Source organism: Homo sapiens, chromosome 11, assembly GCF_000001405.40.
Source record: "Homo sapiens chromosome 11, GRCh38.p14 Primary Assembly".
NCBI classification, from domain to species: domain Eukaryota; kingdom Metazoa; phylum Chordata; class Mammalia; order Primates; family Hominidae; genus Homo; species Homo sapiens.
Window position 1 is genome coordinate 44,362,202 of NC_000011.10, and position 12,781 is coordinate 44,374,982.

Genomic DNA, 12,781 nt, shown 5'->3' on the forward strand with positions numbered 1-12,781 from the left:
AACGACCTTGAAGTGGGGGACCTGGCGACCTGGACCTGGGGGTTGGGGGATGGGGTGGGCCACAGAAGGCAGGGGGCTCCAGCCACGATCACCGCCACACTCTGAGCCATTCCTACAAGACAGAGCGTGATCAACACGTCCCACGAGGAGCCGCACCACTCCTCCACTTCTAGGTTTTTCGAGCTGTTCTAAGCAGAAAACTCCTACTTTCTATTTTCTTGGCCAGTTTTGGCATTTCTTCTCTGTAAGACCAGGCCTCCTGGAGAACATTAGGAAAATTGAAAAATCTTCCCATGGTCAGGCAAGGGGCCACTCATGCTTCCTGCTGGTGGGGCCACTTTCTCCAGTGTCCGGACATGTCATTTTCTGCGTGGGCAAGCAGTTTCAGCCTTCACTAGGGATGACAGAGTGTGTTCTCTTCCTACCCTTCTCTTCTCTTCTGTCCACTGACCCCAAATTGGATTTTTTTTTCCTTAATAAAATGCTGTCTTGTTCTTCAGAGAGCCGATGCGGGCTGCTCTACATGCCAAAGATATTTATTTCAAGAACGACGGAAACCAACAGGATGGTTGCTCCAACCCAGCCCCCATCCCTGTCTAATCAGATTTTCCCCATGTTTCAAGACCTAGCAATGTTCCTCCTTCCATGGGAAACCTTTCTCTACCCTCTGCCCCGCCATGATGGCTACAGCCTTAAATTCACTGGTCTGAACCAGTCCCTTTACAATTAAGGGAGTGATGTCTTTTGATCAAATTGTCCCTTCTTGCTTGATATTATTACTTAACTTTCCAGCCATCCAGACGTTTCTGTTTTGTCTCCTTAGCTGAGGGTGTGACTTCCTTGAGAACCTGACTCTTCTCCATGTCTGTGTCCCCAGGTCTTTATCACACAGAGACTTACATGGGTTTGCAAACAATAGCAGTAATGATTAAAACGACTATGAACACATATTTTGACTTTAACCTGTGTTCTTATCCGTCTGTTTAATAGAAACTCCCTTAGAAAAATAAAAAGTGTTTCAAGAGATGACCAGATTAATCTTTATTGAGTCACTTTCTCTTTAAGGCCGCTCTGGTCCTGAGAGTTTTGACAGTGGAATTTGTTGGGCACCATGAGCTTGGCCTGTGCCAGATGCTTTCTCATGCATTACTTTGTTTAAAGAATTGAGGGATTTGTTGATAAATGGATTCAGTTTTCCATAAGGGAGACTGAAGACTCCCACCCCCATCTTCCCAAATTAGGTTTGGGGAAACAGGAGGCAGTGTGGGTTGTGAAGAGCTGGCCAGACCTGCCTGGGTTCAAATCCCAGCTTCTTCCCACAGCCACATTGGAACCCTGGGCAAGTGACTTGGCACCTCTGGTCTTTAGTTTCCTCATCTGTAAAATGGGGATCATCTTGGTACCTTCCTTGCAGCGTGATGGTTTAGATGAAGTGAATTCATAGTAACATTGTATTTGCTACCATTCGTTGAGCTTTACTAGGCTAGGCACTATGCTGAGTGCTTGACAAGGAAGTAAATGTGAAAAGCTTAGGCATCAGCTATTCTACAAATCTTTCCTGCTCTTTACACCCACTTTGCCGATTGAGTGAGCTCCACTGTGATATAGTTTGTGTCTTGTCCTCACAGCTCCCACCCTGTTTATGTCTATTGTGTCTTGTGTGAGTGTTTGACATCACTCTTCCCCATTAGAAACTCCCAGAGAGCCAAGACCTTGTCTGTTTTCACTCCCACTACTTATCCAGGGCCTGCCTAGGTACTCAATAAACTTTAGCTTCCATTTCCCCTGGGTCCCTCTTCTGAATTAGATTAGAGCTCTCCTTGCCTCCCTGAGAGCCCTGTATCTAGGATTGGCAACAGAGGCCGTGGGGCAGGGATTTTATGCTCAACTTATGAATGTTTGAGCCATGCAGGGATGGCTTCTCATGACTGCAACGTACAGAATCCTATGTTCCCACTCCTGCAGATGACTTGGCATTTGGTGGCCAACCCCTCTTCCCCACTCAATTACCCTCGCTCCTCCTTTCAGGATGTGCTCCAATGCCACCTCCTCTGAGAAACATTTTTTTTGACTATTACAGGCTTAGATATCTAAAAATAATTGTGAGCACAGGCTGTATCATAGACTTAGATATCTAGAAATAATTATGAATCTTGTTCATTGGACTCAGCTCCCTGGCAGCTCACTGAAGCTCCGAATTCCCAGTGCCCAGTACAGAGTTAGTGATCAGCAAGTGTGACTTGAATGAATCCTGTCAAAGCAAAATAAAATCAAGCCCAAATCACTCCCACACTGGCCAGAAAAGGCCAGTATACACCTTTGTAATTTACACAGCTGGTTTCTTTCTTAATTCATTCAAAAAATATTTATGGAGCACCAGTGTGGTACCAGGCCCTATCCTGGGTGCTGGGTGCTGAGTACTGGGGAGTCAGTGGTGAACTGGGCAGACTCATTCCTGAGTCCTGGCACTCACAGTCCAGGCCAGTGAATTCATGGACACCACAAGGCCAAGGCCAAAATAAAACCAGGAAGTTGGAAGACATAAGTCTCCCTGCCAGACACGGCCTGGAAGCCACCATCCCCAAGGTAACAGTGAGCTGTCTCTCCACAGGGTTGTATGGGTCTGGCTCCTTTTCCTGGCTGTGGCACCTGAGGGCTTAGTGGAGCAGACAAGCAGGGATGAAACCATCCTGCTTGTAAGGCAGGGCTCACCCTCTGAACTCAGGGCCAGGGAGGACTCTGTCCACCCAGAACCAGCTGGGCTGCCCAGCTGTGGGCCGGCACCGCTGAAAGGTCCTAATTAGCTCATTTCCCCAGCCCCGTGGGCTGCAAGCAGGCTCCCTTCACCTTTTGCCCTGCTCCATCTCACTCAATTTAGCAGTTCAAGGTTCACCGTGGTGTCAGGGTGGGGACAGGGAAAACGCCCCCTCCCTCCCACTCCCATGCCATTAAATAAAACCATTCCTTTGTGGCGGCTCCACCTGGAAGACTTTGGAATTCTTTCCCCCATCCCCAGCCTGGTTCTGATGGCTGCATCGAGGGGTAGGCTGTGGATTCAGAGCCCAGCTGCAAACTCTGGCTCTGTCATTTAACCAGCACCTGTGTGATCTTGAGCAAGTGACTCACCGTCTCTGACTCTCAGTATTTTTCATTATAAGGACCAACATCCACTTTACTTGGTGGTTATGAGGATTTAATGGGATAAGGCCTGTAAGGCAAGGTCCCAGAGCCTGGACAGAGTCTGCCCTCAGTTCAAGCCCCTGTACTCTGCTCAACTTTCCCCAGACTATAGACCCCACGGGGGTAGGCACAGTGTCTGCTTCGCTCACCATTGCATTTCCAGCATCTTCCATGGATCCTGGACATAGGAGGAGCTTCCCTACTCCTTTCTTTAATCAACAAGCATTTGCTGAAGGCCTCCCGTGTGCCAGGCCCTGGGCTCAAGACATATCTGTTTAATAAATAAATAAATAAATGCTTTCTTCTTCCCGTACCTGCTTCTTCAGGGCTGAGCCCTGGGTAAAACAGGGACCTCGGCCAAGAATTCACAGTGTGGATGGGGCATAGGACATAGGGTCGGGAGGCCAGGAAAGCTCTGGATTCTGGGTTCAGGTCTGCCCTCAGCAGCCGGCGTCTCTTAGGAAACGGGGCTTTCTTCCTTGTCCCCTACCCCATCCATGCCCACACTCCCAACCTCAGGGGCTGCTGGGTGAGCCATGAGCTCCCGACCTTCCCCTGTCACTGGCTGAGTCTGAAAACCTCCCCGTGCACCTCTCAGGTAAGGGAGTGGGGATAAATATTCCTACTTCCAGGATGGTGTGTGGTATTGGCCAGGTATGAAACAGGAATAAGAATTGTAAAGAGCCTAGCACGGCGCCTGGCCAGGGGAGGAGGTGATCATGTTAGCCTCCTTCCCTGCAGCCAGTGCCATAGCAACCTGTTACTCAAAGTGTGGTCAGTCCTCAGACCTGGGAGCTGGTTAGAAACAAGGACTCCCAGGCTCCACCCCAGCCCCAGCGAATCTAAATCTGCATTTTGCCAAGATCCCCAGGCTTGGTGTGCACATTGAGTTCGAGAAACTCTGCTCTCTGACATGCCCTGGAGCTAGCCACCACCTCTCTACGTCTGTTTCTTCAACTGTAAATTCGGGTGATGTTAAAAATAATAACTGGATAAGCCAAACAGAATGAGGAAATCCAGTCTGGATCAAAAGAATGGGATAGCATATTCCAAAGCCAAACAGAATGAGGAAATCCAGTCTGGATCAAAAGAATGGGATGGCATATTCCAAAGTCAAACAGAAAGGGACTGGGGGCTTTCTGCCAGTCTCTGGGCCACAGCTCTGTTGGTTGCTGGAAGCAGATGGAACCCAAGAATGGGGGCAGCAGAGGGGCACTGGGGTCATCTCTTCCATCCTGTGTTGGGTTTAAAAATAGACCTAAGGGAGGGTCTGGACGGGCAAAAGACCTTCTCCTGCTTCTCCTTATTATGGGGCCTGTAGAGGGGAGGTCAGGAACCACGCCCCATCCTGTGGTTTACAGGACCCCTCCCTAATAAAGCAGAGGGCTGGGAGGCCGTGCATTCCAGGGTACATAATTAAAACCAATGAGGGTTATTTGGAATAACAGACCGTTTAGTCGGAAGCACTTGCCATGCTAATTCAAACAAGGTGATTACAGGCGATTAGCAAGCCTAATGGCTTCAGTTTAAAAACAGCCTAGCGGAGAGATGAGCGAGTGGCCTCTGCTGCTTCCGGTGAGCAGTGGAGGGGACTGACCTGGGACTGAAATTCACAAGGTCAGTGCCACGGGGGCTTGTGGGCCTCCCACCTAGGTAAGACACTGGCCCAGTGCAAACTGCTTCCAGGGTGGAAGAGGCTGACCCTGCCTGGGGAGAGTCAGAAGTCAACCTGTTCAAGCATACCCAGACACCTTTGCCTGCCCCACAGAAACTGGGTCTTTCCTGTCTCTTTAGCCCCATCCCCTGTGGCCTCTTCAGTACAGAGGCTGGGTCTTGAGGCCCCTGCATCCTTGAAAGGGAATGTTTATGGGTATACCTACACACACCTAATATCTTTTTTTTTTTTGTTTTTTTGAGACAGAGTTTCTCTGTTGCCTAGGCTGGAGTGCAGTGGCGTGATCACGGTCACTGTAGCCTCATATTCCCAGCTCAGGTAATCCTCCCACCTCAGCTCTCTGGTAGCTGGGACTAGAGGCACATGCCACCATGCCTGGCTAATTAAAAAAATTTTTTTTGTAGAGATGGGGGTTACCCTATATTGCCCAGGCTGGTCCCAAACTCCTGGGCTCAAATGATCTGCCTGCTTCAGCCTCCCAGAGTGTTGGGATTACAGGCATGAGCCACTGCATCAGGCCCACACACCTAATATCTTATTCAGCACTGTACTAAGCAATTCATACATGTCATCTCATTAATTCATTTAAGTCAGCACCAATTGTTGTCTCCATATGACGGAGGAGGAGCTTGGATGCAGACAGATTGTCTGAAAGTGACAAAGCCAGGCCTGTTACCCAACTCCTCCTGTCTCTGAAACCCTTCTATTATCTTGCTGAATGCATATCACAAGGTGGGCACTTTCACTGCAATTCCCATCTTACAGTCTAGGGGACTAAAGCTCAGAGGAACTAAGGAACTTGCCAAAGGTCCCTGTCACCTGGCGAATGGCAGAACTGGGATTTGACCCTGATTTTGCTGATGCAAAACCTTCGTTCTCAAGCACCCTGGAGAGGGAGCAGAATTGCAGCCAAGCTTGGATGGAGAGGGGAACAGCAGGGAGACTTGTCAGGGAAGGGCATCCGAGGCACAGGGAATGGCACAGATACACAAAATAGGGAGTTTTCGGTGGCTAGAGACCAAAACCCCACACTGACCTGCTTAAACTTATTTAATAAGGAATATGTATTATCACCAGAAACAAGAAGTCCTGAGGACTGCCTAATTTAGAGGCTTCATGCTGTCCTCAAGTACACAGGCCTCCTGCCTTTCTGCCTCCCTTCCATCAGATATTGCTAGGCACCTTTCTCTGTACCAAGCATGCTCTTAGGCTCTGGGGTTACAGTGGGGAAAAAAACCAAGTCCTTGCCTTGGTGGCGCTTACATTATTGTGTGAAAGATGATTAAATAGACGCATACACACACGCTGTATATATATCATGTATATTATATGTATGGCATATATACATGATACATAGGGCGAGAATGCCTAATATGAAAATCCAAAATGCTTCAAATTCTGAAACTTTTTGAGCGCCAACATGATGCCACAAACGGTAAATTTTACACACAGTCTCACTTGATGGGTCACAGTGAAAACGCAGGTGCAGAACACGGTTTATTCTGGGTCCCCAAAGCAAAAATGAAATTACATTCAGGCTGTGTACATGAGGTGCACATAAATCATAAATAAATTTTGTCTTTAGACTTGGGTCCCATCCTTCAGATATCTCATTATGTAATGTGAATATTCCAAAATCTGAAAAAAAAAAAAAAAAACAAAAAACCCTGAAATCTGCAACACCTCTGGTCTCAACTATTTCAGATAGGGGATACTCAGTCTGTTTAATATGTACTCATATATAAGTGTTTATGATATATTATATAGACACAGTGTATGTGTATATTATACACAATGCATGTGTATGTAATTTAAATATATAACACAATGTCAATTAAAAGCTATGAATAACAAAGCAAGAGAATAGAATGGCAGAGGGGAGAGAAGTCAGAGGAGTCTATCTGAGGAGCTGATATTTGAGCAGAGACCTTAATGAAGTGAAGGGGTGAGCCAGGTGAGAGCTGAGGGAAAGTGTTCTTGGCAGAGGGAATTGCAGGTGCAAAGGCCCTGGGGTAGGGTGGTGCTTGCAGTGGAATGTGTGAGTTGTGCATGCTCTGAGGGTCAGGTTCTCGTGCAGATGAGTCCCCCTCATGGTGGCCAAGTGACCATAGCAGTTCCAGGCACCATAGGCAGACATGACGCTGGCCAGTGAATAAGAGGGGGGTCTCTTCCCTGTATATCATGCCTTTTGTAAATCAATGAAGAAACTCTTCCTGAGAGCCCCAGCAGGTTTCTCATTAATCTTCTTGGACAGAATTATATCACAGACCCATGTCTAAACCAGTCCCAGACAGGGGAATGGGACCTACGGTGGTTGGCTTAGTAAGGGAGACACCCTTGGAACTGGCAATGGGACCATCCTTTGACTGGTAGGGGAGAGGAGGTAGATATTCCCCCCCAAAAAATGGGGCCCTGCCAGGAAGGAGGAGGAGAAAAGGCTGCCAGGCAGGCAACCACTGTGTCTGGCATGGCAGGAGCTGAGTTCTGGCTGATGAAAGCATTTCCATGTGGCTATGCCCCTGATTACTGTATCAAGTGGGCCTGTGGGCCTGCTCCCCCTTTCTTCCTGGAGCACCTCTCTTCTTCGCCTTCATCCCCCATCCCCCAATCTACCTCAACACTTGGCTTTCAGAATAACTCCATGCTGGGGAAAAGAAGCAGCTGAACTAAAACAATGAACTAAAAAGCCCATCTTTTGACAATATTCACATTTGGAGAAGTAAAAAATTAAATGACGTGCTGGTATTTTGAAAACGAAGGTTTCACAAGTCTATTTAAAAGAAAGTGTCCCTTAAAGCAGTTGGAGGAATATCTTGCCCCTGGTTTAGATTTTCTAAGGCCTGGGCTTGACAGAAACCCACACAGCCATTGCCCTGCTTACCTTGCCCCATCATCGCCATGACCAGGAGGTGCATGGGAAGGAGTCTAGAAATCTGGGAGGCTGGGACTCTGTACAAGAGCTATGCAGTCTGAGGTCTGAGCTGGAAGGGAGCCTGGAGGATTGGAGGCTCAGAAGGCTCAGACAGTCAATCGTTGGAGATTCTTCTGCAGGGGATGAGGAGGTGGCAGCTGCTAGGAAGGAGAGAACTTGGGCCATACCAGAGTCCAGACCCCTTGTTTGGCTGAGAGCAGGGAGGTATTCCCTCTTGGTTGCAAGTGGCAGAAACCTAATGAAAACTGGCTTAAGCAAAAAGGAAAATATATTGGCTCCTGTAATTGAGAATTCCAAGTGTCAATGGCTTCAGGCATGGCTAGATCCAGCGGTTCTGTGTCTTTGTCTCTCTCTACCTCTGACTCTGCTTTTCTCTGTGGCTTTCTTTCAGGCAGTCTTTCTTTCTCCACAGTGGGAAAGACACCCACTGGAAGCCTAAGACATACGTGGTGCTGCCATCTTGGGATCCTAAGGAGGAGACACTCTATCTCTTCCAGCATCCATATAGCAAAGGCGTGAAAGCACACTGACCTTCCCTGCCTGGGTTGCATCTCCAATTCGTAGTCCATTTACTATGGATGGGGGTGGGGTGGGGTGGGGTTCCACAATTTGTAGGCATGGATTGTGTGCCTACCTCTGTCATCAGGGGACAAGCAGGGCACTGAGATTGTTCCCTAGGAGCTGTGGGATGGAGTGGCAGATGCCCTAATAGACATGGATCCTGCAGAATGAACCACAGCTGCCCACCTTAGGAAGTGACTGGTTCAGTATCACCCTAGTGCTAAGAGGCAAAGTCTGCTTCAGCCCAGTGTCCTTAGCCATGGTCCAGTGTGCTTCCCATCATGCCACAGGCCTGCAGAGGACACTGGGAGTCTCTTGTTGGGGCTGAAGTGTCTATGATGATTATGATGGGGTTAGGGTGGGTGTGGCCAAGGTCTTAGCCATGATCTCAGGCAGCCGTGATGTAATGGGCAGGTCTGGGCTCAGTGTCCCTGAGAGGATTCTGACTCTGCCTTTTCCTTTGTAATTGGGACAACTTAGTTAACTTTGTAGACCCTCAGTTTTCTCATCTATAAAAGGGGTGATATGGCCCAGCTCTGTGTCCCCACCCAAATCTCATCTTGAATTGTAATCTGAATTGTAATTCCCACATGTTGGGGGAGGGACCTGGTGGGAGGTGATTACATCATAGGGGTGGTCTCCCCAGGCTGTTCTCATAATACTGAGTGAGTTCTCACAAGATCTGATGGTTTTGTAAGGGACTTCCCCCTTCGCTCACCACTCATTCTTTCTCCTGCTTCCCTGTGAAGAGGTGCCTTCTGCCATGACTGTAAGTTTCCTGAGGCCTCCCAAGCCATGTGGAACTGTGAGTCAATTAAACCTCTTTTCTTTATAAATTACCCAGTCTTGGGTATTTTTAATAGCAGCATGAAAACAGACAAATACAAGGGGGATAATAAATGCCCATGTCCTGGGACTGAGTGAATTATTGATAATCCTTGCATGGATAGACAAAGGGGGACGGGAGATGAGCTCCAGGAGCTTTGCTCATGGAGGGTTGCCCCAGGGACAGAGGGCAGAGATGTTCCCTGGCCTCTGGAGTGGTGTTGGCAGGAGGTGGTCTGTGTGGGGCCTCTCAGAATTGACTGTTACCTATGGGGGTCAGGGTAGGGTTGTGAGATTTAGCAAATAAAAATACAGGATGCCCAATTAAATTTGAATTTCAGATAATCAATAATTTTTCGGTACTGGATAACTATGTCTCACACAATATGTGGGACACGCTTATAGTAAAAACTTACTTGTTATTCAGCTGTAATTCAAACTTCTTGTACTTTATCTGGCAACACCAGGTAAGGGGAAGGAGCATGTGGGGGTCCAACTGATTCAGGCCGATGACCCCGATCCCAAAGGTGCTACCAGTCTCCTGGCCCCCTCCATGCCTCCCAAGCTCCTCAGAGGTTAGCTTGCTCTTCTAAAAATATTTTTAAGGACTAGCCCCACCCTGGTGTTCCAGGAGACTTTTTCAGGGCTGTTACAGGCCAAAGGACATACTGGAAACTTGTTTCTTTGGTCAGAGGTTTCTTTGTGGATGTGCAACAGCAGGAGACCTTGAGAAGAAAGGTGAGTGGGCACCAAAGGGGAGAAGAGCCATGGCCTCAGCACCCTAGGGCCCTGTAGACCACAGGGTTTGGTGTCCCTGCACTTCCTGGACCTACTAGGCTTGGGATAGGCCAGGTGACCAGAACAGGAATTATAGTTGTATTGGAGAGGAAAGGTCTTGGGGAAGATTAGATGATAGCTCAAAGATTAATCTCCTTCCTTACTGAGCCCCTGACTTCTAAAATCAACTCCGGTCCTGTGCCCAGGCCTCAGCCTCCCTCACCTCTGAGATGTACTCAACTCTTTCATTCCTGCAGAGATGAACAGGAAGAGAGTCCCCAGAGTTAAGGGGCTTTGGTGCTTGGAAGAAAGATGATCTAGCTGTCTGAACCACAGGCCCTGCCTCCTGGGATGGGCCCTGGCCAGCCCAAAGCTCTTCTCTCTGTAGACCTGAAGCTTTGAAGGATGTGTAGAAGGCAGGCCAGTAGCCTCCCTCAGCTCAGATCAGTGCTTCCTTCCAGCCCAGCTCAGCTTGGGTTGTGGTGAGAACATAGGCCTGAAGTGAGAGCCCCAGCTCTGCCCCTTCCTAGCCGCAGCTCCACCTCTCTGAGCCTCAGTTTCCCATCTGGAAAAATGGGGCTAATCCAACTTGACCTTCCCACCTCATAGGCAGATATGGTAGATGAAAGTGCCTTACCCATGATAAGAACAAAACAATGAGAGGAGTTAAGATGCTCCTTGGAGGAGTGCACACTGTTCCCTCCCAGAACATCCTCTCCCTTTTTTCCCCCCAGGAATACACACTTGTGGTATATATTATTGATGGTGTAGATTTTGTCACTAGTAACTCCAGCAGAAGAGTTGTGATGTAAGAAACTAGGACTGCAGTGAGAGATCTGTGGGGCACCAGTCCCCTTCCATCTTGTTGCTCCATCTGCTTGGGAACTGGCCTCACTCACGTGGTTTAGAGGGGCTCACCACCATGTCCACATTCCAGCTAGAGGGAAGTGGAGGGGTTGTGTGTGCTCCTTTTCATTAAAGGCATGGCCTGAGTGATGTAGCTAAATCACCTCTACTTGCCTCCTATTGGCCACATCATAGTCACATAGCCAAAGCCAGCTGCAAAGGAGGCTGGGAAATGTAGTCTTTCTTTTTGGGTGGCTACTTCGCTAAAAATCAGGAGTTCTAATATTACAGAAGAAAGAGAGAATGGATTTTAAGAGACTCTGGCAGTCCCTGCCACAGATGTCAGCAGTTTTCTCACTCGGCACTTTAGTTTGCTGAATTGATGTTTACTGAGCATGGATTAAATGCCAAACCTTTTGCAAGAATCTGCGGAGGCAAAGAGGAAACAGTCCTTGATCTAACCTGGTGTAATGGAAAGGGTAGATTGGGAGCTGAGAGACTGGCAGTCAGTCTCTTGAACGCTGAGATCCTTGTTTTGTGGTCTCTTGTAGCTGCCTGTGTCCTTGTTCTGTGGTCTCTTACTTATACCTTGAGATCTTGTTCTGTGGTCTCTTACTTATACCTTGTTCTGTGGTCTCTGAGTAGCTGCCTGTGTCCTAAATCACTGCTTCCTGGATAGAAAGCTGCGGGCTGGGCCATTTCAGGCGAGCTTGTTTGGAAGGGAGTAAAAGGGTCGTGGGGAGGGAGATATCGCTGGAGCACTTCATGGCCTGGCTGACCACAGACAAGATGGGCAACCTGAGTGACCCACTGAATGCATGTATTACTCAAGACTCTTCAGTTGCAAGTGACATAAACTTAACAAAATCAGAGAAGGACAATATAAAGGAAGAAAGTAAAGGAATTTATGTTGTAGGAGTTTATGTAGCAAAAGGCAGTAAACTCACTTCAGGCGTGTTGGATCCAGAAGCTCTAATTATACCACCAGGAATTTCTCTCTCTGTCTCTTGGCTCTGCATTTTTCTGCTCTGCTTCCTTCCCAAATAGTACAACAGTGGCCACCAGCAGCACCAGGGTCTCCTTCCTATCAGATTAGCAAACCCAGGGGGAAGAGCATGCCTTTTTCTCAGGCAGTCCAGCAAAAGTTTCAGGTCAGACTTTCACTGGCCCAAATTGGGTCATGTGCCCTTTCCTGAACCAATCATTGTGTCCCAGAAGGTGAAGTCTCCTGATTGTCCAGGCCTGGGTCATGTGCCCACACCACTGGTGCTGAAGAGTGATATCTGTTCTGCTTACTTCACCTGGACCAAAAGCTGGGGAGCTTCCCAAAGGAAAATTGGAGTGCTGTCACCACAAGGGGAAAAGAAAGGGGGCTGTTGAAATAGCAGGTGCCCACAATGGGGATTCACATCGTCCCAGCCAGTCCCTTGTGGCAAGGGGCAAAGTCAGCTAAGCCCCCATGGCATCCGAAGAAGTGAACATCTGAGCTCTCACTGTCCTTGGAGAGATGAGGTCATATGTTCTGGGGGTAACAGCGTGGGGCTCTGGAACCATACAGGACTAGAATGAATCCTAGCTCTGCCCCTGTGACTTTGGGCCAGTTCTTCTACCTCTTCGTGGCTCAGTTTCCTCATGTGTAAGTTGAGAATAAACAGCAACAGCATAGTAGAATGCCTGGCTCGGAGGCTGACATGTGGCAGGCACCAAATGCCTAGCAGCTCTTATCTTTTTGGATGCCGTCATTCCAAGTGAGGTCCTTGTAATGGAGAAGTGACAAAACTTTGGTTCTTGGATTATATGTAGGAGGGCACCGTCTTTGGGTGGGTAAAACGTTTGAACAGTCCTGGCCCACCGAGCAATTATTTAGACAATTAAGATTCTTTAATGAAGAGCAAAACTGCTATTGTCTGGGCTCTGTATGGGCCCAAGTTCCTTGACAGGCAAATAGTGGTGCTTGAAGGGTGGGGGAGCCTGGAGGTACAAGA

The 12,781-nt window shown here is 48.3% G+C and overlaps 1 annotated feature.

Moving 5' to 3' along the window:
- Positions 2,758-3,257: an enhancer, noted in NCBI's record as "H3K4me1 hESC enhancer chr11:44386509-44387008 (GRCh37/hg19 assembly coordinates)". NCBI's record gives its function as "activates a minimal SCP1, AML or CMV promoter by ChIP-STARR-seq in naive H9 embryonic stem cells {active_cell/tissue: H9 hESC(naive)}" and the evidence as "EXISTENCE:reporter gene assay evidence [ECO:0000049][PMID:30033119]".